This window comes from Homo sapiens, chromosome 5 (assembly GCF_000001405.40).
Source record: "Homo sapiens chromosome 5, GRCh38.p14 Primary Assembly".
NCBI lineage: Eukaryota > Metazoa > Chordata > Mammalia > Primates > Hominidae > Homo > Homo sapiens.
In genome coordinates, this window is record NC_000005.10 from 163891521 (window position 1) to 163917974 (window position 26454).

At 37.1% G+C, this 26454-nt stretch overlaps 4 annotated features.

Annotated features, from left to right (window-relative positions):
• Nucleotides 1271–1826: an enhancer, noted in NCBI's record as "NANOG hESC enhancer chr5:163319797-163320352 (GRCh37/hg19 assembly coordinates)". NCBI's record gives its function as "activates a minimal SCP1, AML or CMV promoter by ChIP-STARR-seq in primed H9 embryonic stem cells {active_cell/tissue: H9 hESC(primed)}" and the evidence as "EXISTENCE:reporter gene assay evidence [ECO:0000049][PMID:30033119]".
• Nucleotides 23841–23970: an enhancer, noted in NCBI's record as "active region_23583". NCBI's record gives its function as "activates an Ori minimal core promoter by ATAC-STARR-seq in GM12878 lymphoblastoid cells {active_cell/tissue: GM12878}" and the evidence as "EXISTENCE:reporter gene assay evidence [ECO:0000049][PMID:35858748]".
• Nucleotides 24053–24599: an enhancer, noted in NCBI's record as "NANOG-H3K4me1 hESC enhancer chr5:163342579-163343125 (GRCh37/hg19 assembly coordinates)". NCBI's record gives its function as "activates a minimal SCP1, AML or CMV promoter by ChIP-STARR-seq in naive H9 embryonic stem cells {active_cell/tissue: H9 hESC(naive)}" and the evidence as "EXISTENCE:reporter gene assay evidence [ECO:0000049][PMID:30033119]".
• Nucleotides 24951–25060: a silencer, noted in NCBI's record as "silent region_16592". NCBI's record gives its function as "represses an Ori minimal core promoter by ATAC-STARR-seq in GM12878 lymphoblastoid cells {active_cell/tissue: GM12878}" and the evidence as "EXISTENCE:reporter gene assay evidence [ECO:0000049][PMID:35858748]".

The window sequence follows — 26454 nt, forward strand, 5'->3', positions numbered from 1 at the left end:
AGTTTTTCAAATTGGTCCTTACTGTAATCCTTTATAAATATAGATTCCTGAGGTTACTTCCAAATTAATAGATTCAATTCTTTGGAAGTAAAGTCTAAATACCTTTAGTTTTCATAAGCAATACACATTAACATGAAGAGATGGCTGCCTTATCCTTCTTGTTTTTTTTGGTTTAAATAAATCATGCAATTCAATTCGAAATCTATAGTTTTCATCCTCTCTGTACTCTTAGGGCACTTTTAAATAACACTAGCTTCTGTGGGGAGGCATGCTTGAAGGGATTGAAAGATGCAGAACATTAAATTGTAACTGTGGATGATATATTCACCACTTCCTTTTGTCTTACCCTTAATTTAAACATCCTTAGGAATGTTTAAATCCTCTTTTCTTTGTTGTTATTTGTTGTTTTACTTTAGAGGAGAACTGTTTCTTGCCGCATGGCTCTTTCATGCCTAATAATGAAACAAAGCCCTCCTGTATTTCTGTAAACATGAGCTCTTTTTGTTGTTATTGTTTATTTATTTGTCTCTGACTTAAAGTTACACTTTATTATTTATTCTTTGAAAAAATGTACTTTGGTTTCTAATGTCATAGGAACGTTCAAAATTATCTGACAATATGACTATTCGGTTGTAAGAAATGTAAAATTTACACCTGTATCAAGATTTGATGAAGCAAAGATGAAATTTACACATCAATTAAACTTGGCACAGCAATTGAAAATCACTGCGTTAGCTGTCAGTAGGAAAGCACTAGTAAATGCTTGCCACTATAAATGAATAAAACACTTATAATTTTTTTTTGGCCATAATCCTTAGGTGTGCAAGAAAACGTAATATATCTTTCCATAATTGAACACAGCTTCTATCTTAAGTACCTGCTGGAAGAAAACTTAATCTTACGTTTTTGGAGCACACCTATGTTTTAATAGTCTCAAAGTATCATTTTCACTGAAATGATTGTGTTACAGATATGATAGAGATTTTGATCTATTTTATTCTATTCTGCGTATTTACATTTCAGGTGTTTTTATATCTCCCTTATACTTCTAATGAAGCAATAATTTAAGACCCTAATGCTGATGACTAATCAATTTATCTATGGTTTATGAATTTCTAATTCTAATATATTATCTGTGATATCTGTGATAATATATTATATATGAAATAATAGATTATTATGATGATGAATTTTCTATGGCTAATAGATTAACTTTAGATTAGGTTAATGGTTCTCGTAGTGTGGTTCCCAGAACAGCAATATTAGCATCACATAAAACATTGTTAAAAGTAAAATTTCTCATCCCTCATACCAAACCGCCTTTAAACCAAAAAAAAAAAAAAAAAATTCTAACCCCCTCAACCGTCTCAATGGACCCCTCCTTCTGACCAAGGGCTTTCCAACATTAGCCTGAAAAACTAGTTCAGGCCATGTTGGGAAGCGGGAGTCAGACATGCCTAAATATACCCTTTTCCCTTTTGAAATTCATGATAGGGCAGACTCTTTAAGTCTGATAAGAAACATTTACAATCTATTCTCTCTGAAGCCTGCTACCTGAAGGCTTCATCTGCATGAGAAAACATTGGTCTCCACGGCCCCTTATTGTAACCCAAAATTTCTTCTATTGATAACTCTTTCAACCAATTGCCAATCAGAAAATCTTTGAATCTGTCTATGACCTGGAAGGCCCCTTCCCTTTCCAGTTGTCCTGCCTTTTCAGACTTAACCAATGTACATCTTGCATATACTGATTGATATCTTATGTTTCTGTAAAATGTATAAAAACAGGTTGTGGCCTGACCGCCTTAGGCATCTGTTCTCCAGGTCTCTTGAGGGCTGTGTCACAGACCATTGGTCACTCATATTTGGCTCAAAAAAATCTCTTCAAATATTTTACCAAGTTTGACTCTTTTTGTCAACACTACTGAATCAGAAACTTGGGTGGAGCTGAAATTTGAGCGCTTCTGGCTTAAGCATCTTGTGCAATGGTAACATGATGGACTCAGCAATTCATCATAAGTGTTTTCTCTCTAGAGAAATCCAGTATGACATAGAGAAAAGATGACCAAGAAGAACATGTTGCCACCCATGTAGAAACAATACAATAATTCTCCTCTTGTCCTGAATGCTGTGAATATTTTCTAAAATTTATAATGTAGTAGGCACAGTGAGCTCATCTAAGATATAATATGCCCAGTATAACTTAACTTTGAATGACAGATATAAGAAAGTTTTAATTTCTATTAAAAGCATTGCAACTTGTAAATGTTTTTTCCCAGTGAGATATTTTGGGGTTCAAATGAGCTTATGGGAAAAGAGAAGATAAATTGTTGTTTTAACTATGCTAGCCAAGTTTTTCTTTAGAGAGTGATAAGGTGTGATACCATCAGCATCCAGTGAACAAACCCAGATAAATGATTTACCATTTCCAAAAAAGGTAAGAGTATAGGGACTACTGGCTTATGGGAGACTGACCTTGAATTCTATCTCTTATTTTCAAAGGGATTTCTGTTTTCCATTCCACAACTGTGAGCTGCACCTCAGTGAACTCTTTAAAAAGGATATCAATAACGATGCTTTGCTTTGCATGTGTAAGCCACACAGAAGCAACTATTCTGTTATCTGTCACCTTCCGTCTCTTCTAACTATGCTTGGCATCAGCAACAAAACTAAAGCAGATCAAATTGCTTGTTTGATACAAATCAAACAAGCAATTAAATGGAAAAGTTTTCTTTTTTTCCTTCTCCTTCTAACAGGATAAGATATTTTAGGCATAGTGAAAATAATATCTTGGGTGTTGAGGTAAAGCAAAATGCTTCCTGGAAATCCTCTGCTCCAATTCTGTAACTGACACTCAGAAAGTCAGAGATTTGGGAAATTTTTTGAAAGCATACAGTATCTCCTGCATATCAGCAGGAGATATATTCCAAGACACCCAGTGAATTCCTGAAACTATGGATAGTACCAAACCCTGTATATAGTGTGTTTTTTTTCCTATACAAACATACCTATGATAAAGTTTATACGTTTGGCACAATAGGAGATTAACAGCAATAACTCATAATGAAATAAAACAACTATAACAACATGCCAGCATTACTACTTTTCCACTTGGGGGCTATTACTGAGGAAAATAAGGGTTACTTTAACATAAGCACTGTGATACTGTTACAGTCAACCTGATGAACAAGAGGACTACTAAGTGACTAATGGAGTCAGAGAGAATCTACAGCATAGATTTGCTGGACAAAGGGATGATTCACATCCTGGGGAGGTTGAAGTGGGATGGTGTAAGGTTTTAACATGCTATGCAGAATGACATAGAATTTATAACTTATGCATTGTTTATTTCTGACATTTTTCATTTTTGGACTGCAGTTGACTGGGTAACTGACACCATGGAAAGCAAAACCACAGATAATGAGGAACTACTATAGTTAAGTAAAATGATGAATTTTTGTTTCTGAGCTGGAAGTAGAGGGTTACATGGTGAATTACTGCATATATACATAAAATACATTAAAATATCACAAATCTAAAGATATACAAGATTTGATATGCTAGTTTATTACACTGTTAGACAATAGTGTAACAATATGAGTAATGATGGTATTCACATAAAATAATACAAATACACACACACATAAATATTTTTTTCACACAATTTCAGGTAGATAAAGAATTCTCCCCAAAGTTTAGATTTAGTATTTGCTGTAAGCAAACCTGTAAAGTTGAAATGATTACCCTATTTATGGGTAATAGATAACACCATACTGTTGTTCTTGTTATTTAAAGAAGACTTCTCCCAAGAGTTAAAGCCACCTCTTCCTTTCTTTCTTTGTCTTTGGTCAACCTAATGTTTTATTAATGAGAGTTATTCGAGATAATCATTCTGAGATCTTAGTGGAGATTACAGTGTACTGTGGACTCAAACATTAAGTCACATTGGAAATTGTACCTAACATTTATTAGAAACTCGCAAATGTGTAAAATGCACATAGTATATTGGCTTACAGAGAATGTGTCTTTGTTCAACTGCTATAAAAGAATACCATAGACTGGGGCCTTGTGAACCATGGAAATGTGTTATAGCTCTGAGGGCTGTAAAGTCCAAGATCCGGTGCCAGCAGATTAAGTATCTGTTGAGGGCCTGCTTCCTCATAGGCAGCCATCATCTTATTCTAAACTCATATGGTAGAAGTCAGACAAGTGGTTTCTCTTGGGCCTCTTTGATAAATACACTAATCCCATTTATGAGGGCTGTGCCCCATGAGCCAATCACTTCCCGAGGGCCCTACCTCCTAACACCTTGGTGGTGAAGATTTCAACATATACATTTGGCAAGGAAAGGACATAAACATTCAGATTATAGCAAGATGCGTGGCAATTTTTACTTTTTTTTCCTTGGGTTAGAATGAGAAGAGAAACAATACTTGCAGACATCTCTGTATATCTCCCTCTTTTCCTCATCTGGCCCCAGGGACTGAGAACTAAAATACTTTCGCTGAGCTCTATATATCCTGTTAATTCAAAATTACACTTCTGTGAGAGTCAGGCCTCCAGAGCCTTTAAGATTCATGTGTAGGAAGTGAATATCGAATATTTATTTGACACTAATGAGCCCTATGCAAAACTTCGTTTGTCAGATGTGTTTTTTCTTGTTTCATTCTATTATACTCCATCATTCTTGTAATGTATAACTATGCAAGTGACATCAAATATGAGAACACTTTTGATTTATATTATTTTTCCCTACCTGTTCCATCAGAATTATTGACTTTTACAATATGTCTGTATGTCTTGCCTGTGAATACCACCTATTATACAATAGTTATTTCTTATGAACTACATGTCCTGTCAAATTTACTTCTGATTTCACCTATCTTGTAATCTATTTAATACAGGCAATTGTGCACATATAGACTGACTTCATATTTATTAACTTGTATTCAAAATAATAGTAATACAAGTGAAATTCATGGCAATTAATCATTTATACAATATTATTATTATAATGTCCAGTACATATACTAGGGGAAAATGAAGAAAAGTGTGTGTGTGCGTGTGTGTGTGTGTGTGTGTGTTTAAAAACAATGGTACCAATAAATCACAAGCCACATTTAACACTTACTTTTAAAATATCAGTCATTACAAAGGTACCAATAAATCACAAGCCACGTTAAACATTTTCTTTTAAAATACCAGTCATTACAAAGGGTACATGGGAGGGGCATTTTCATGAAGACAGAGTCTTTTCTCTTCCTTTCTCTTTCTTTTTTGTTTCTACAATTCACTTTTCGCCTGTAGTTATAATCTTCAGCTCATGGTATCAAAGTCTCCTCTACAGTAACTAAATTAATTGTGATACCATGAGTACAACATTTTGACTAAAGGTGAAAAATCATCCAAAGTAAATGAAGTACAGAATAAGTACTAAAATTCTGATACTCTAATTATGTAAATATGATCTGATGAAAAAGAAAACAATTACAAACTAATTAAATGTACATTTGAGTTGTTCATCAAAGACCAGATGATGTAGATAACCACAAATTAGCTCCAGTTTTCCAGAGTACACAGCATGTTGATTTGGCTGCCTGATGTCTATTCAACCACCTTCTACTAACTGTCTCAATTCTCCTCTGAGCCACCCACCATCACCAGCTCTCTTCTGAGGGTTTCCAGGAGAGTCAACTTCATTCTTTATTCACTAGTGAATCATATGACCCGAGCCTTAGTTATGCACAGTGATTAAATCAGAGGTGAGTCCCTGACCTAATTAGAATCATTTAGAACTAGTGATACAACGAAAACTTTCTGAAAATTCTGGAAAGCATCTCTCATTCTTTCCTGTGGACTTATAGTTTAGAAGAGAAGATCTGGATTGGATTCACTTATCATAGAAACACAAAAGAAGAGCTGTCTAAGAACAAAGCTAGCACACAGAAGAGAGCAGAGCCAGGGTCAGAAGAGTGTCATTGTAACATCAATCTCTATCTGAAGTGAGCTCTACTGCTCTGATCCTTCGATTCAGAAGAGCTAATAAATTCCTTTCTGGCATAAAATCATTTGATTTGGGCTTTCTGTAATCTGTAGCCGAGATCGAATAGGCTCTGCCCAGATGAAGAGGACATACAAAGGGTTGGCAACTCTTAAAGTTTCTCTCCATGGGTAAGAGACTAGATTATCATCAGAGATAGGTCATAAATTTACAGCATACCAGCAAATCCTGGACCTGCAACAACACAAACATTACTGGTAGAAGAAATGAGAAAATGCTGTCATATGCAAAGGCATATCCATGATAAAGAAAGTAGCAGAACAAGCACTGCCATTATTGTCCATGTTGCCATAGGCACAAACCTAGCTAAAAGGTTTACTAATCTGTGTATGCATACATAATATAATCCAAATGTTTGCCTTAATTTTCTGTTACAGGCATATCTCATTTTACTGCACTTCAGTCTAATGAACTTTGCAGACATTGCATTTTTAAAAAACTGAGGGATTGTGACAACACTGCAGTGAGCAAGTTGTTCAGCACCATTATTCCAACAGGATGTGCTCATTTTGGTGTCTCAGTGTCACATTTTGATGATTATTGCAATATTTCAAACTTATTTTATATGTGCTATGATTATCTGTGATCAGTGACCTTTGATGTTACTATTGTGATTGTTTTGGGGTGCAACAAACTGCATTCATATGACAGCGAACTTAATTGATAAATGTTGTGTGTGTTCTGACTGCTCTATAGATCAGCTGTTCATCAGCTCTCTCCCTCTCCTCAGGGCTCTCTATTCTCTGAGACACAGAATATAAAAATTAGGTCAATTAATAACCATACAATGGCTTCTAAGTGTTCAAATAAAAGGAAGAGTTTCACATCTTTCATGTAAATCAAAAGCTAGAAATGATTAAGCTTGGTGAAGAAGGCATGTTGAAAGCTGAGATAGGCTGGAAGCTAGGTCTCTTGCACCAAACAGCCAAACTGTGAAACCAAAGGAAAAGTTATTAAAGGAAGTTAAAAGTTGTACTCTAGTGTACACATGAACAATAAGAAAGCAAAACAGCCTGATAGCTGATAGAGAAAATTTTATGGTCTGGATAAAAGATTAAATCTGCCACAATATTCCCTTAAGTCAAAGCCTAATTCAGAGAAGATAACTCTTCAATTCTATGAAGCCGAGAGAGATGAGGAAGTTCTTCATAACCTAAAAGTGCAAGATGTGGCTACAAGGGCTGTTGGAGAAGCTGCAGCGAGTTATCCAGAAGACCTAGCTAAGATCATTGATGAAGGTGGCTACACTAAACAATAGATTTTCAATGTCATGAAACAACCTTATATTGGAAGAAGATGCCATCTGGAACTTCTGTAGTTAAAGAAGAAAAGTTAATACTTGGCTTCAAAGCTTAAAAGGACAGATTAAGTCTTGTTTGGGGCTAATGGAGCTGGTGACTTTAAGTTGAAGCCAGTACTCATTTACCATGCTGAAAATCCTAGGGCCCTTAGGAATTATGCTAAATCTACTCTGCCTGTGCTCTACAACAAAGCCTGGATGATAGTGCATCTGTTTATAGCATGGTTTGCTGAATAATTTAAACCCACAGTTGACAGCTGCTTTTTCAGAAAAAAAGATTCCTTTCAAAATACTACTGTTCATTGACAATGCACCCAGTTACCTGAGAGCTCTGATGAAGATATACAAAGAGTTTAATGTTGTTTTTATGCTGCTAACACAATCTGTTTTATAGCCCAGGGATAAAAGAGTAATTCTGATTTTCAAGTCCTATTAAAGAAATACATTTAATAGGACTATAGCTGTGATAGTGATTCTTCTGATAGATCTGGGCAAAGTAAATTGAAAACCTTCTGGAAAGAATTTCCCATTCTAAATGCCATTAAGAACATTCATGATTCATGGGAGGAGGTCAAAATATCAACATTAATAGGAGTTTGGAAGAAGCTGATTCCAATCTCCATGGATGGCTTTGAGGGGTTCAAGACTTCAATAGAGGAAGTCACTGCAGCTGTGATGGAAAGAGCACGAGAACTGGAGAATTAGAAGTGGAGCCCAAAGATGTGACTGATTGCTGCAATCTCATGGTAAAACAGATGAGGAATTGCTTCTTATGAATGAGGAAAGCAAGCGATTTTTTTGAGATAGAAAATACTCCTGGTGAAGATGCCGTGAACATTGTTAAAATGACAACAAAGAATTTATATGGTTATACAAACTTAGTTGATAAAACAGCAGCACAGTTTGAGAGGATTGACTACGGTTTTGAAAAAAGTTCTACTGAGAGTAAAATGCTATCAAATAAGAGCACATACTACAGAGAATTTTTTTTCTGTGAAAAAGAGTTGATCAATATCACAAACTTCATTGTTGCCTTAATTCAAGAAATTGCCACAGCCACCACAAAATTCAGCAACCACCACCCTGATCAGTCAGCAGCCATAAACATTGAGGCAAGTCACTCCAATAATAAAAAGATTACATTCACATTACTAAAGGCCTACTTTACTGCAATTCAATTTACCCAGTGCATCATGTTTGACTAGCAAGAAAAAATCACAAGACATACCAAAAGACAAAAGACACAGTTTGAAGAGACTGAATTACAACCAGACTCAGGTATAGCAGGGATGTTGGAGTTTACTGTCTGGAAATTTAAAATAGCTGTGATTTAATATGCTAAGGGCTCTAACATATAAAGTAGAGAGCAGGTAAGAACAGATGGGGAATATAAACAGAAAAGTAAAAACTCTAAGAAAGAATAAGAAATGCTTCACTGTAAGATAAATGAAGAATGCCTTTGTTGAACTTATTATTCACTGTAAGATAAATGAAGAATGCCTTTGTTGAACTTAGACTGGACGTGACTGAAGAAAGAATTGCAGAGCCTGGCCGGGCATGGTGGCTCACGCTTGTAATCCCAGCACTTTGGAAGGCCGAGGTGGGTGGATCTCCTGAGGTCAGGAGTTCAAGACCAGCCTGGCCGACGTGACACCCCATCTCAAATAAAAATACCAAAAATATAGCTTGATGTAGTGGTGGGCGCCTGTAATCCCAGCTACTTCGGGAGGCTGAGGCAAGAGAATTGGTTGAACCCAGGAGGCGGAAGTTGCAGTGAGCTGAGATTGTGCCATTATACTCCAGCCTAGGTGATGAGAACAAAACTCTGCCTTAAAACAAAACAAAACAAAACAGAGTTGCAGAGCCTGAGGATATTTCAATACCAATTTCTAAAACTAACGAAGCAAGCAAGCAAACAAACAAACAGACAAAAATAATAGAATATCCCAAACGCTGTAGGAGAACTACAAAAGGTGTAACAAATGCATAAGGGGAATATCATAAGGAGAAGAAAGAGACAAAGAAACAAGAAATATATACAACAATAATGACTGAAAATTCCCCTAAATTAATATTTGTCATCAATCCAGAAAACTCAGACAACACTGAACAGAATTGTCAAAAAAAGATACTAAGGCCTATAATATTCAAACTGAAAATATCAAAGAGAAAGAAAAACTGTTGAAGGAAGCCGGAGTTTGGTGATCAGGGACACCTTACCTTTAGGGGAGCAAAGATAAGAATTACATCTGATTTCTCCTTAGAAACCGTGCAAGCAAGAAGAGAGTGGAGGGCAATATTTTAAATGTTGAAAGAAAAAACCCACCATCCTGAAATCTGTACCCTGAAAAATTATTTTCAGAAGTGAAAATGAAATAAGGACTTTATCAGATGAATAAAAATTGAGGGAGCTTCTTGCCCATAAATCTGCCTTATGAGAATTATTAATAGAAGTTTATTAGGGAGAAGGAAAGTAATATATGTAGAAACTAGGTTTTACATATAGAATGGAAGAAAATCAAGAAAGGAATAGTGAAGGTAAAATAAACTTATTTTTATTATTCTTAAGTGATGTAAGAGATAATTGTTCATTCAAAATAATGTAACAATGTATTTGATTATACACACACATTCTGCATATTTACATGTGTTGACATGTAAGTGAAATGCATTACAGCAGTGATATGAGATGAAAGGAAATAATTATTTTGTAATTTTAAGGTACTCATACTACCCTTGAAATGGCATAGTGTTATTTGAAATTGAACTTCGATTTGTTGCTAATGAATTTTGTAATACTGCACACCCTAGGCCAACGACAAAAAATGTATTAAACAAAGAAGTATAATATGCTAAGAAAGGGGAGAGAATAAAAATATGTATAATGCTCAATTAAAACCACAAAAGGTAGGGAGAGAGTCAAAAACAAAAATAGGAAGAAAGAACAAGGGCAATGAATAAAAAAAGTAACAAGAATGGTAGGTGTTAATCCAACTATATTAACAGTTACTTTAAATGTCCTTGGCCCAAATACACCAATTAAAAGTCAGAATCATCAGAATGGGTAAAAAAACAAGACCTAACTATGAATTGTCTACCAGAAACTCATTTGAAATATAAAGAATCATATAGATAGGCGAGGCGCGGTGGCTCATGTCTGTAATCCCAGCACTTTGGGAGGCTGAGGTGGGCAGATCATCTGAGGTCAGGAGTTCAAGACCAGACTGACTAACATGGAGAAACCCCGTCTCTACTAAAAATACAAAATTAGCTGGGCGTGGTGGCGCATGCCTGTAATCCCAGCTACTCAGGAAGGCTGAGGCAGGAGAATCACTTGAACCCAGGAGGCAGAGGTTGCGGTGAGCCGAGATCACGCCATTGCACTCCAGCCTGGGCAACAAGAGAAAAAAAAAAAAAAAGAATCATACAGATTAAGAGTAAATGGATGGAGAAAGAGATGCCTTGCTAACAATAACCAAAAGAAAGCAGAAATAGCTATGTTAATTTCTGAAAGAGCAAACTTCAGAGCAAGAAAAGAGCAAACAAGGAAAATTATCCAGGCTAACAAAGAGAGGCATTACAAAATAATAAGGAACCACTTCTCCAAAACTGTATAACAATTCTTAACAGGTATGTGTGTAAAAACAGAGTGTCAAAGTATGTGAGGCAAAAACTACAGATCTGCAAGAAGAAGAAATAAATAAATAAATCCACAATTACACTTGGAGACCTCAGCACTCTTCTATCAGAAATAGGCATATTCAACTAATTCAGTAAAGTAGTAGAGTACAAAATTATCATACAAAAATTAACATCGATCTCTACAAAAAAGAAATCAAGAAAACAATGCCATTTACAATAGAATAGAAAAAAATATATACTTAGGAATAAATTTAACCAAAAAGGTGAGAGATCCATACACTGGCAACCACAAAATCATTATTTAAAAAAATTGAAGAAGATACAAATAAATGGGAAGATATCCTATGTTCATGGATTGTGGTATTTAATATTGTTCAAATATTCATTGTACTTAAAGAAATCTATAGATTAAATGCAATTCCTATCAAAATGCCAATCACATTTTAAACAGAAATAGAAAAAAACACTATCATAAAATTCATGTGGACTCTCAAGGCACTCTGAATCACCAAAACAATTTTGAAAAAGAAAAACAAAGTTAGTTTCATGCTATCTGATTTTAAATATATTACAAAGCTATGGTAATCAAAATGGCATGGCACCAGAATAAAAACAAACCTATAGACCAACAGAACAGAACAGAAAGCCCAGAAATAAACCAACACATGTAAGTTTACAAGATCTTTGCCAAGCATGCCAAGACCACACAATGTGAAAAAGATAGTCTCTTTGAGAAATGGTGCTGGCAAAACTGGGTATCTACATGCAGAAAAATGAAATTATACTCTTTTCTCATGTCATATACACCAGTTAAATCCAGTCATTTAACATTAGGTATATCTCCAAATGCTATGCACATGTATGTTTATTGTGGCACTATTCACAATAGCAAAGACTTGGAACCAACCCAAATGTCCAACAATGATAAACTGGATTAAGAAAATGTGGCACATATACACCATGGAATACTATGCAGCCATAAAAAATGATGAGTTCATGCCCTTTGTAGGGACATGGATGAAGCTGGAAACCATCATTCTCAGCAAACTATCGCAAGGACAAAAAACCAAACACCACATGTTCTCACTCATAGGTGGGAATTGAACAATGAGAACACATGGACACAGGAAGGGGAACATCACACACCGGGGCCTGTTGTGGGGTGCGGGGAGAGGGGAAGGATAGCATTTGGAGTTATTCCTGTTTTTCTAAATCCAATTTGAGTCGCATTTTCCGTCACTTGAAACAAAAATCATTCTGACCAAAAAGATATTCTTAGACATGAGAATTAAAAATTTTCCAATATAAGGGATGTGTAAACAGGTTTTCAGGGTTTAGATCCATTATTTACACTTGAAGAGTGTAAATACACTTTCAGAGTATAGACCCATTACTTACACTTATAGTCAGAAATGAAAATTGCCATTAAATATAGATTTAAATCGCATAATCATATGATACTACTTGTCAGTGTTATTTTTAACCTCTGCTTTTTCTATCATTATTTTTAATTTAGATGTGTAACTTAATCATGAAAAAGATTCACAGGATGTTCTTTTTGTTTGTTTGACACATATCACCAAGCTCATCTCTATCACAGTGATCCCCTCTTCTATTCTCTACTGAGTCACCTTCAGACACGTAGGGCAGCAATCTAAATTGTAATTCACATTGTAAATGGAGTAAGGATGGCTCTAGTGAAAGCAAGATGAAAATAAGAAATTTTTTATGTGTGGAGATGCAGGTTGCTATATGAAGTATTGGGACTCTCAAAATCAGTTTTTCAATGGTTTCAAATGTCTTAAATAGGCTAGTGCTGTGGATATGCAACACATAAAAGTATTATCTGATTTCTTCTATATATTTGTCCTTTTTAAACTCAATGTTTATTATTCTGTGAAATCAGAACAATAAAAATAAAGTAACATATGCTTTTGAAATTAATGTATTGACTCTCAAACTTGGTTCCTTGAAATGGTGCTTCAGCCATTTCACAATGTTTTACTTCTTTCCTTTGATTTAAAAATGTGTTTTTAGTATTGTAGGGGGTTGAATGCTAACCTGCCTCCAGCCAGCTAAAAAATATGTCCAAGTTCTAATCCCTGATAACCTGTGAATGTGACCTTGTTTGGGAAAAGGTTATTTTGGATGTAATTAAGTTAAGGATCTTGAGATGAAATCATCATGTATTAATTGGTTGGGTCCTAAATCCAATGACAAATATTCATATAAGGGTCAAAAAATAAGGGAAAGCAATTTGGATGGGGGAAGAGATTGGAGTAATAAAAGCCACAAGGAATGCCTGGGGCCACCAGAATCTGGAAGAGACAAGAAAATTTGTCTTGCTGAAATCTTTGAAGGGAGCACACTGCCTAGTTGACACTGTGATTTTGGACTTTTGGCTTCCAGAGCTATGAGAGGATAAATTTTTTGTTTCAAGCCACCAACTGTGTGGCAATTTGTTACAGCAGAAATAGGAAACTAATATAATATAAATACTTCTTAAATATTTAATTAAAATAAACTGTGAAATCATACACGCTATATATATATGTATATATGTATTATATATAATACGCACATACTACATATATAGATATATATTATATATGTGTATATATCATATACATATTGTATACATATATATTATGTGTACATGTATATATATTATGTATACATATTGTATACATACATAATATATATGTAGTGTGTGTTTGTTTGTGTGTAGATAATCTACCAAAACTAAATACACTGGAAACCACTAGTGTATTCTACCTTTCAGGGGATCCCATTTTTGTGCAGGACTTAGATATTTGGATAAATATTATCTTGACCTTTACCCTTATATTTAAAGTAATATTATTCTAAAAATTCAAGGTAAGGTGTTAAAATATTATTACTTTTCAATTAATTATCTTAGTGAATCTCATTGTTTAGTTAGATAGGGATTTTTTCAGATGCAAACAAGAGAGACAAACAAAAAGAATTTATTGTTTTATAAAACTTAAACTTTCTAAAGTAGTGAGCTTGATTCAGGAACACATTCTTAGAATAAAATTAAAATTCCTTTTCTTTATACTAAAAGTTCCTACAGTACCTGATTTCTTTGTATTCACTGACCTCATGTCTTTCCATTCCTCATCTGATCCATGCCAGTTCAGCTTCAGCAAACTTCTCAAAGTTTCTAGAATACATTAAGTCAATTAAGCCTCACAGCTATGTTTGTTTGCCTGGAATGTTCAGTTTGAACATAGTTTCCTCATCCATAGCATTATAATCTCTGTTCAGATGCCACTTCCTTAGAGAGTACTTGTTATGAGTTCAATGCTTGTGTTCCCCCAAAATGCATATGCTAAAGCCCCCAAAGTGATGATATTTGGAGGTAAAGCTTTTGGGAGGTTATTAAATTTAGATTATATCTTAAGGGGGAATCTTTATAATTACATTAGTGCCCTTATAAGAGATAAAGAGAGAGAGAGAGATCTTTCTTTTTCCACATACATGCATCAAGGAAAGGCCGTGTGAGCACCCAGCGAGAAGGCTGCCAGCTGTGAATCAGGAAGTGAACCTTCCACCAGGAGCTGAACCTGTTGGCACCTTGTTCTTGGATTTCCCAGCCTCCAGAAACATGAGATTTAAATGTTTGCTCTTTAAGCCACCCAGTCCCTTGTGTTTTGTTATAGCAGCCTGCATTGACTATGACAGAGCTTCTTTGGCTACTCTATATAAAATAGACACCTGCCTTTTATCTCTTGCTTTATAACAAACCACCAAAAGCTTAGTCGCTTAAAATGGTGACTTACTGTTTATGATTCTGTGTGTCAGGAATTCAGTAAAGATTCAGTGGGCTGCTTGCCTCTACTCTATGTGGTGTTGGCTGAGTGGATCAACTAGTGCTGGAGGCCCCAATACGCTTTGGTGTTGACCTTACAGTGTGGCACTTCAGTTCTTCTCCACTTGGCTTCTCTCCTCACACAATCTCTCATCCTGTGGATCTTCTCTTTCCCTGCAGACTCTCTCTCCAGCAGGATAGTCTGGACTTTTCTGTATAGTAGCTGCCTTCTAAGAGCAAAATCTAAAGCTCTAGGCCGTAAAGGCCTAGGTTTGGAAATCTCAGAATGGCATTTGTATTAGTCTGTTCTCACGCTGCTAATAAAAACATACCTGAGACTGGGTAATTTATAAAGGAAAGAGGGTTAGTGGACTCACAGTTCAGCATGGCTGGGGAGGCCTCACAATCATAGCAGAAGGCAAAGGATAAGCAAAGGTGTGTCTTACATGGCGGTAGGCAAGAGTGTTTGTGTAGGGGAACTCCCCTTTATAAAATCATCAGATCATGTGAGACTTACTCACTATCACGAGAACAGCGTGGGAAAGACCTGCTGCTGTGATTCAATTACCTCCCACCAGGTCCTTCCCGTGACATGTGGGAATTATGGGAGCTTCAATTCAAGATGAGATTTGGGTGGGGTCACAGCGAAACCACATCATCATTTCTACCTTATTCTGTTGTTCAAAACAAGTCACAAGACCACCATAGATTCAAGTGGTGGGAAAATAGACTCCCTCTCGGTAGGAGTTGTGATATGTGTGTTGAATGATTGTTGGTGGCCATTTTTGCAGACAATCTACTGCAGTCCACCTTCTGGCTATGTCCTTTCACATTTGTTCCCATGTGCAAAATATATTCACTCCCTGAAGACCCTCAAATCTTGTCCAATTATAGCATCAGGGTATTTTTTAGACTTTTATTTTAAATTCAGGAGTACATGTACAGGTTTGTTACGTTGGTAAACTTGCATCATGGGGTTTTATTGTACAGATTATTTTGTCACCCAGGTATTAGGGCTGGTATCCATTAGTTATTTTTCCTTATCCTCTTCTTCCTCCTACCTTCCAACCTCAGGTAGGCCCCAGTGTCTATTTTCCCCCTCTACGTGTTCATGTATTCTCACCATTTACCTTCCACTTATAAGTGAGAACATGCCATATATAGTTTTTCATTCCTGCATTAGTTTGCTAAGGATAATGCCCTCCAATTCCATCTGGTTCCTGCAAAGGACATGATTTTGTTTTTTCTTATGACTGCATAATATTCCATGGTGTATATATGTACCACATTATTTTTTTCCGGCCTACCTCTGATAGGCATTTAGTTTGATTCCATGTCTTTGCTATGGTGAATAGTGCTGCAGTGAACGTACAGGCTCACGTGTCTTTATGATAGAATGAGTTATATTTCTTTGGGTATACACCTAGTAATGGGATTGCTGAATCAGATGGTAGTTCTGTTTTTAGCTTTTTGAGGAATCACCACATTGCTTTCCACAATGGTTGAACTAATTTACATTCCCACCAACAGTGTATAAGTGTTCCTTTTTCTCCACAACCTCAGCAGATCTGTTATTTTTTGACATTTTAGTAATAGCCATTCTGACTGGCATGAGATGGTATCTCATTGTGGTTTTGATTTGCATTTCCCTAACGATCAGTAATGTGAGGCTTTTTTTCATATGCTTCTTGGCTGCATGTGAAAAATGTCTTCTTCTGAAGAGTGTCTGTTCATGTCCTTTGCCTACTTTCTAACAAGGTTGTTTTTTTCTTGTAAATGTAAGTTTCTTACAGATGCTGGATATTAGACCTTTGTCAGATATAGCATCAGGTTTAAAATTCAGGGTTTTGTGATCTATGTCTGCTCTGGAGAGGATAAGCCTATTTGAATTTAGTTTCTCTGGGTCTTGAGATTTGAGAATTAAAAGTCTGGTTATCCTTTTCCCACACCAACATACAGTGATGAGACATGGACAGGCTAACTGCAATAGACACTCTCAGTCAGCAATGGGAGAAGGAAGGCCCATAGTAGTTCTTGGTCTGTAGCAATTCTAAAATCCTTCTCGACATATCACCCACTTCCCCTATTCAATACAATGTTTCTTCATTAGGGCCTGATTCTTCTACTCCTTGACAGGGGTCCACGAGTCCACTATTTTCCCTCACCCAGGGTTGCATGCACTGAAAATTCCTGAGTTTGCAGTTTCGCTGCTTCCTGTCCCTGCTTCCTACTCACAGAAACCTGGGGCTCAGAGCCCTCTTTTTATATTCCACTGTCTCAGTTTCATTTAATCCAAGTTGGTAGTGCTTCTGTCACTGTTGCTCTCTTAAAATATTTATGAGATTTTCAGATATCTGGAACTTTTCAGTTATCTGAATATTTTCAGATATATGTAAATATTGAGACAGAGCTCTCTCTACTTTGGGAATGTCAGACTGCTGTGAGGCATTGTCTTAAGATTCTTAGATGTGTCTTAACTCAGCCAGAGGTATAATACACATCACTTTAAATCCTCTGAATTCATAACCAAGAGTTTTATGGACATATTCTTGATTTGATCTTTACTTGGAGGCCATTTCTTACTTTCAGAACATTTTTCTCACTGGCAAAATTATCCTGGGTCCTCTATATTTTCTCTAAATTATGCTTGAAAAAGAAACACTTTTTCTTTAGTCTCTCTTTCCCTTCTGTAACTGATCATACATAACTGTAAGAAATCAATTGACACTTTTAATCTTATGCTTAAAAATCTTATCCAGATTCACAAATGTTGTTAAATGTACCACCACTGTGTAACACAAATCATCCTTTCTCTGGTCTTTTATAGGATTTTGTTCAATGCTTTCCAAACTTCCCTTAAAGGTTCCTCACCTTCCATCAAGCCTGTGCCTGCCACCCAAACCCAAAGATGATGCTTTGTCGTTCAGGTTTCTGTCACAGCCAACTCTAATTCCGGTACCAACTTCTGTTTTAATTCTCTATTACTGCAAAACAAAGCACACCCAAATGTAGTGGCTTAAGGCAGCCATCATTTTATTGCTTATTATTCTGTGAGTCAGGAATTCTTGGTGGGGTTTAGTAGGGACGGTTTATCTCTGCTTCACATGGGAACTATTGGCAGAAGAGCCTTGACTGAGGCTAGAGGACCAAATACAGCTCCATTCATGTGTCTAGGGCCTTAGTACTGCCTATGATGCTTTTCTTTCATGCGGCTTTTCTTTCCACATGGTCTCACATCTTTCACACTCTCTCTCTAGAATAATAGACTAGACTTCCTTGCACGGGGTCTGGTTTGCAAGAGTAAAAGTAAAAACTACAATGCCTCTTAATATCTAGGCTTAGCAATCTCGGAATGTTACTTCTACATTATTCTGTTGGCCAAAAATGCTTACAAGCTCAGCCAAGATCCAATCAGTGGTGAAATAAACTCTACTTTTTGATGAGATAAGTGACATGCTTGTAGAGGAACAGAAAAAATTCTTGACAACTATTTGGTAGACTGGTAAATTTTTTTCTATAAAGGGATAGATAGTAAGGATTTTCGGCATTGATAGCCACATATGGTGTCTGTGGCATAGTCTGCCTCCTCTCTCCCTTGTAACAATGCTTTCAAAATGTACAAACTACATTTAGTCCATCTGATGTAGTTTGCTGCCCCATGCTTTTGACTATATAGAAAACCTACCTAGTCCTTCTTAGTATGTTTTGCCTTATTAGTTTTACATTCTCATATCACTCTGAAATTATTTAAAAATTTATATTACCATTGTCCCCACTACACATGTCCTGGTCCCTAGTAAATGTTTAATAAACATTTGTTGAATGAATGATTTAATAACTAAATAAATGCATCAGAATTTATTTTCACTTTATCTTGTGGAGCTATCTTTTATTTTGATGGAGTCATTCTCAGGCCCCATTTAATGTTAGAATGGCTGCCAATAGCTCTAGGCCAAATACTTCCAGGTTCAAACCCAGTGCTTTTCTCAGTAATTGCAGAAAATTTTCAGGGTGGCACTCTCCCATGGCTCTTAACTGTATCAGATGCTCTGTTTGAAATTACTATAGCCAGGAAAAATGAGAAGGTCTGATTAGCCAAACTTACATCATTGCCAGGGATTGAATCATGAGCCTCCCTAAATGCATGAAATGAAAGTTGGTAGGTGTTTTCCAGAGGAAAATTACTTTACTGGACAAAAGATGAATAGATACTTTCTAGCCAAAATATGTCCAAATTGAAGCCGGTCCTGGTGGCTCACACCTGTAATCACAGTACTTTGGGGGGCCAAGGTGGGCGGATCACCTGAGGTCAGGAGTTTGACACCAGCCTGGCCAACATGGTGAAACCCCATCTCTACTTAAAAAAAAAAGTCCAAATCATAGACTTTTTTTTTTTTTTTTTTTTTTTTTTTTTTTTTACACCAAGCATATTGCTTTAGTGGACAGGAAACATCTTCCCTAAAGCAAGAACTTTCCATCAGATATCTATTTTCTCATAGAAATCTGAAAATCCATATATAATTATTTTCTACATACTGCTTAAAATCAGTGTATTTTGTCTGACATCTTGATTAAATTTTTTTAAAATTCAGATTATTGCAAATCAATTTTTTAAAAGGCAATGGGTGTTTGAGCATATATATCCTACTCTTACCCTAATATCTGAAGCAAAAATAGGTGTAGAAAACATCAGAATCTTGTCTGTTCCTATAATAGCTCTTACATTCATACAGCTTCAGTTATGACCCGTTTCCAGCCTAAATTTTTCAGGCCAGATAAACACAGAATAGATTCCCATATTCCAATTTTTAATCACTTGGCATTGTTTGCCTCCATACTTTGCTAGGTTGGCACTTCATTTGTATATTTTGGGTAAGAAATTTCTTCATTCAAAATTACATATTAATTATGCCCTTTCTCAAAGATTGCGTGGATAACAATAGGAGACCAAAGATGTGGTTTCCAGTATCATTTAGAAAACATTGATTGCAAGTTTTTACCAAGACTGTTGTAGGTTTTTCTAACAACCAATTTGGAAATGCAGGCAGAGTTGACTAGATGGTACTATTAGCAAACAGCCAAGACTGATGAAATTACTATTTTGGAACACCTCTTTGCAGCCAATTTAGAATCAAAGCTATATTTCTGAGGAATTGCATAAGTACCAGTTATTCCACGTTATTTTCAAGGCAGTCTGCAATATTGTTACGTGCTTGAGCTCCCTCTGTAATTTTGTACACAACAAAACGAGAATTTGTTCCTTTTTGGTAAACACTAACATTGGTGAAAATAAATAAACAATAATTTCACTCCTACACTCCCCTTGTTTTATCCACCCCCCCATCTTTAAGTAAACATGTATAGAATTGGGATTATAAACAGCCCATCAGAAAATCTTTCTCCCCTTTCCTCATTCAGTGATTTACAGCACAGCAGGTATGTATTTCAAAGTGACATGCACAGAGACTGCCGAATAGTTTTACACTAAAGCAATGTAATCTATGGATAGCTCACAGTAACTTTATTTTATAGTAAGTTCTTGTTTTCTTTTCGTTTTCCTATCCCTCTCTTATTTTATGATGAATTCCAAGTCCTCCCCAAGAAGTCACCATAATCACATAAAGACATAAGGAGATGTACATTGTTTTAGTTATCTCAAGAGTTGAAATGAATTAACACTCCATATTGATTATTCTAACTTCTCATTCTTCCCTGAAAGATATTTGATGGTTCCTTCTGGTAGACCCCAATGTGTCATCACTTTTCCGTCAAGCGCTGGTGCAGCTTTGTTTTTTTGTTTGAGCCATCTGATCTAATCCATTCTGTCTTCTTATATTGAAATTAACAAGGCATATACCCTGAGGCATAGGCCTTATCTACAACAGTGAGGCACAAATGAACTTGAACATGAGGTCAATCAAGTGCACAAAATACATCACACAGTTTTTCCAAGGCTCACGCTGTGTCTATAATTGCCCCTTGTTCTGTCATTAGAGCGCCCTTACAAGTCATTATTTTGAGTCAGCAGAGCTACAGGGAGTATTCTTCCTGATGGTTAGTATAAACTTGAATTGATAACATAAATATCTCCCAGCACAAAACACAAGTAGCAGGTATTTAGATTAGATCTAATAAAGTGTGCAGCTGTTCAGTCTCTTTATGAATCTCAGCTAAAACAATAATCACATCTTTCAATATGGGTTCTCCTTCAGTAGCTCTGTGAAAGAGAAGCTATGTTTTTCTAAATGAATGGACATATGCCCTATTAGAATTTGCCTGTCTGCTTTTATCCTAGATTGTTACTGTTTTTATTTGGCCAAGACCAACATTATTCACATTTCGTGGGATTTTTTCCTTAGTCAGCATGGTATAAAAGTTATTCCACTTTAAATTAGAAGCATCATTTATTCATGTGTTTTGTGGAGGGAGGAGGTATGAGTTTAATGCCAAAATTATATACCAAGTTTGTAGCCTCAAGCACATTTTTAGAAGTATTACCTTTGCTGGGAAAGGAGAATTCAGATGTCCTCCTCAAAAAATGGCAGCTGACAGGGCTCAGATGAGGCTGATAGAGAAGAATGCAATATTTTCTTCACGTGGATCTAGCCCCTGGACAAAAACAAAGTAATGGAAAGAATGGAGAGGGAAGGCCCCAGTGATTTGGAAATATCCATGCACTCAAATGAGGACACTAAGTTGTTTTTTAAAAAGTGACCATATTATGTGAATCAACACCGCTGAGGTCCAATTACTTGGCTTTGGAAAATATATCTTATCTCTTTGAATGTCTTTTCTTAATTGTAAAATGAAGGGATTAGAATGGAGAATGCAAAATAGTGGCCTGTGGTCTGGATCAGATCCATAGAAATGGTTGTGTTTGAGCTATGTCATTAAAAAAAATTAGCTGCTGATTTTTAAAAATTAGATTTCACTTTCTTAGGTTCTTATCTGAATTTCTGTATCAGTTATCTATTACCATGCTAACAGTGGGTAACAAACAACCTTCTATAATCTGCTTATTGAGTCTACTGGCCTGGATTAGCTTTTTTTCATGCAAAAGTAAGTATGAAGTTACTGCATAATTACATTGCTTAGATACAGAAAGAGTGGGGAGGGTCATTTTTGTCATCTACCACATTTTATCACATTTCATATGTGGCAACAATGGGTAAGTCTGGGTAGCAGCTACCAGCTTTAGATGATCATAAATTTGCCAATTTGTGATAATACCTACCCCCTCCTTATTATTTCTCTGAGACTAGGACCAATGATGGTTTGTCATTATCAGGGCACTTTTGCTGTAACTTTCCTTAAATTATATTCTGTACCCATGCCTTTATGAAAAGCGGCCACAAGAGGCACAACAAACTAGCCATATCTTTTTTTTTTACATGCAGATTGCTTCATTCACTTATGCTATTTGCCCAGACTCTGGCGTCATCTGAGTTTGGGACCCAAATGATTTATAATTTTGAAACAGTCTTCAGGACTTTAGAATACAAGTAGAACAAATGCATTGGAAATCTTCACACAGTCTGAATAAACAGAATGTTCATAATGAAACTGTAAAGTTTGTAAAAATATTCCTGCGAAAGCTGGAAAGAGCTGTTAGTTAGAGTGCAAACACACACAATTGATTTGCTCCATAAACATCAATTTAACTTCTACCATGGATAAATATCCATATCCTACAGAGATAATGGATGGGTTTTTAGAAAAAAAAGTGCTAATCCAGGCCAATAGACTAAAAAAAATAAACAGATTAAAAACATCCTTTTTGTTTTTTTCCACATTGCCTTGCATTATGTCTCTCCGAGAAAAGCTTTTGGGCATGAATTGCCAATATCTACCACAAAACATTTATTTTCTCTCTTCTTACTGTCCTCCAGGCTAAGAGAAAGATGTATTCCCAAGCGTTCTGTAAGTCTGTCTTTATCTCTCATTTCTCGCCCCTTTAGGGCCTCAGTCCATTTATTATTCATTGTATTATTCCTTCTTCTTCATGCAGCCTTTTGGATATGTGTGGATATGTATATATATGTATGTATATATACGTATACATACATATATATGCCTATATACAACTTTCTTTTATCACTATGATCACTCTAAGTTATATCATGTTTGCATGTTTTTGTGTGGTAGAGAAGAAGACAATTAGTTTAGGGTAAGATAATTAGCTATGGGGAAGTTAATTTGTTAAAGAGGCAGGCTTGTGGACAGTTAATCTACTTTCATGCCTCAGTTTTGTCATCTGTGTAGTTGGGGATAATGGTTTGTAATGTAAATAGAATACGACCCAAATCATAGTATTAATATTTGCTATTACTATTGTGAATATTACTGCTATTGCTGTTCATGTACCTGTCATTCCAGAAATTGTGTAGAAACACAAAGATAGAGTTAACATGATTTAGGTATGTGCTTTTAGCATCTTTCTATTCCTTCTTTTCACTTGTCCCCCAGCCCCCATTTCCTGTAAAAGGATATTTCTTTGTTTTGCCTCTACATTAGAGTATTTTACTTTTCTTAAATGAATATAATTTAAAAGCTGTTTTTCTCTCTAAAAATATACATACCAACATCCCACTCCATTGCTAGGCTTTGGGAGGAGACTTATGAGCGCTCCTTCCCCCATCCCTCCACACCCTGCTGAAACAGGAGAGTTCCCTTATCTCCCTCACAGGGCGTGTAGTGGCAGGGGTGTGGCCGGTTTCTTCAGTGCCCTGGTGCTCAAAGCCCTAGGGGCAACTTGCAGATGAGCAGATGGTGGGGAGTGTTTTTGGACTCCGACCCCATGGCAACATCTAGGGTTGAGTGTTCACAGCTCCTGAAGCCCCAGTGGGCGTGTGTTACAGTGTGCTCTTTCAGCCTTGCCATCTGCAGGTAGCTTGTGTTAATCAGCTCAATTAGACCCTCTTCCTTACCACAAGGACAGAGGGCTTTCTGTATCCTGGGTTCTTTCCCTTGTGTACTGGAAAAATCGGATCACACGGGGGCTTGGAGAATGAGTGCAAGATTTTATTGAGTGGTGAGGGTAGCTCCCAGTGAGATGGATGGGGAGCCAGAAGGGGGATGGGGTGGGAAGGTGCTCTTCCCCTGGAGTCGATCCTGCCCAGCGGCCAAACTCTCCTCCAGATGCCCCTGGCTGAATTGGCATCCACGTTGTTCGGCCATCACTGGCCTGCCGGTGTCTGCTGGTGTGTTCTTCTGCTCCTCTCAATGTCCAGCCGCCTGTGTGTGTGCCTGCTACGGTCCAGGGTTTTTATGGGCACAGGATAGTGGGTGTGGTGGGCGAAAAGGCAACATTTTGGGCACAGAAACAGAAATGCCTGTCCTCATTTAGGTCCGTGGGCACAGATCTGAGGGTGGAGCCCTCACCAGGGACCCCACCCTTCTCTACCCAGCACTTCCCTGCCCCCCGTCCGGTATCACTTCTAGAGTGAGGGAGATTGCTCTGTAAACCAGCCTAATTGCTCTCCAGGAAGCTCTAGCCTTGTGGTAAGCTCAAGGTTCCCTTTTGCAGTCAGTTTGAAATATGACACCCTGGTAAATTCTATGCTTCACTAAGGACATTACATTTCTCCCCAGAGTAGGAGTCCTGTGACCCTCGATCGTTTTAGTGCCAATACAGTGCCTTTGTGTGGTGGCTTCACCATCGCTAGCAAGGCCATATCAACCCTCTCTATGGCATAAACACATAGAGAGGGATGCATTATTGTTCCTTAGTTGGTGATTTTCAATGAGCAAATATAAGCATCCAGGACAGTTTATGTCCCCTTAGTATGTTACAAAAGACCTCTATTATTACCTAGAGCAGCGTGTGTTCTGCAGATAACCCATTCAGAGGGTTATTTTGCCAAAAAAACAAAACAAATCCTTCCTCAAATGTATTTGTGAAGTGTTGCAAGTTGCTGTCCTCAGAGTGATTTGATTACAAACAAAGGATCTCTGGCTACCAAGCCTGAGTGGAATTCTGTGGAAGGATATGTGGCAGCTCAGAGCACTGAAGGAGGCCTGAACCTCTAGGCCCTGGGAAGGAAGGGGAACCCCTTAGCAGGAATAAAGTAGTGATGCTTCATGGCCCTAAGTTTTACCTCTGTGTCCATCTGCTAAAAGTGGCACATTCCTCAGAGGGAGAACCTGATTTGCCTACACTGGGTCATTTTGAGACAGGCAGGCTGTCTGGTTTCCTGTTTTGCTGTGGTTTAGAGGAGAAGGAACAAGCCTCTTACCCAAGCTGTAGCTTACCCAACTTCCAGCCAATCAGCAACAAAAGACCCAAGAAGCCATTAACCTCAAGTCCCTGGTTTAGCGGGTTAGGGACTGCTCCAGGGTCCTGTCTGCGCAGTTCAACTTAAAGTTACCCCTCCCTCATTTTAATGCTAAAGATCATACCCAAGGATGGGGATTTAAAATTTCATTATGTTACATGAGATGTATGAAGAAACATGTAAGGCCACTATGCAAGCACCAGAGAAGCCCCTCCTATACATGCCCTGCTGAAACCCTTTCTTTCCCATAGAAAGGCCCTATAAAACTAATCTACATACTACCCTGAGGGAGCAGCCATATCTACTAGTTTAGAAAAGGGTGGTATGAACTGAACGCTCTGATAAAAAAAATCCCAGTGCAAGCAGCATTTTGCTCCCAAAAGGAAAAGTAGGGGTGATGAGGGAGGAACAGACATGCATGTATCACACACCTCCCTTTTGGAGTTTCACAATGCACATTTCCTCTGAATACTCTTGACAGTGAAGAAATCTGTTCAACAACATTTAACTTACCCCTTTTCATATTTTTTGTTTTTGTGTAGTATCTATTACCCTCAGAAGAAACTAGTACACCATTGTATACCCCCTGGAAATGCTGACATATCTCTTGGACATCACACTTTAATCTTTGATTGGATTCCTCCTATCTCTATATTGCTATTTCTTAATCCTTTGATAGGATTATCTTAACAGTGTCCCATTTTTAAAGATAACCACTATGGGTAATATGGGTGTTCATTTCTTAATCACTTTGAATTTAAAAAGTGTTTTTAAAGGTGCTGTTTGGGGGCCATCTGTCTTTCTTCCCTCCTCTGTGCCATTGTCCCGGTCTACGATGCTTCTCCCATTTCTGAAGTCCTTTGGAAAGTCGTTTGTACTCTCTGGCTCATCTTTGCACACTTCACTCTCAGCTTTGAGGCCATACACGAATATGGCTCCTGACAAAACCTTCTTTCTCAGGACTTTCTGTTTTTCTTGTTGTTGTTGACCTCGAACCCTTTCTTGCGTCTCAAGTGGACGTATTCTGTAAATACTGCCACTCACAGGGTGGCCCCCACTTGCCCTGCATCTCACTGCTGTCTCATTCTTTTGTGCATGTGTCACTTTACTTATTGATTATTTGATCTTTCTTCCATCCAGGGTACCTTAGATATACTTTTTCAGGTCGTTTCAGGATTTGACTTGTAATAGCAAATTCTGAGTTGACAGCAACTCTGGAAGGAGAGAGAGATGATTCACACAGATTATAACAGTAATAACTGTTTACCAGGTATGAGGCCATCCAGTAGTCTGGGGGATATAACTCAAAACACCAAATTTCAAAATACAGGCAAATGTGTGCATG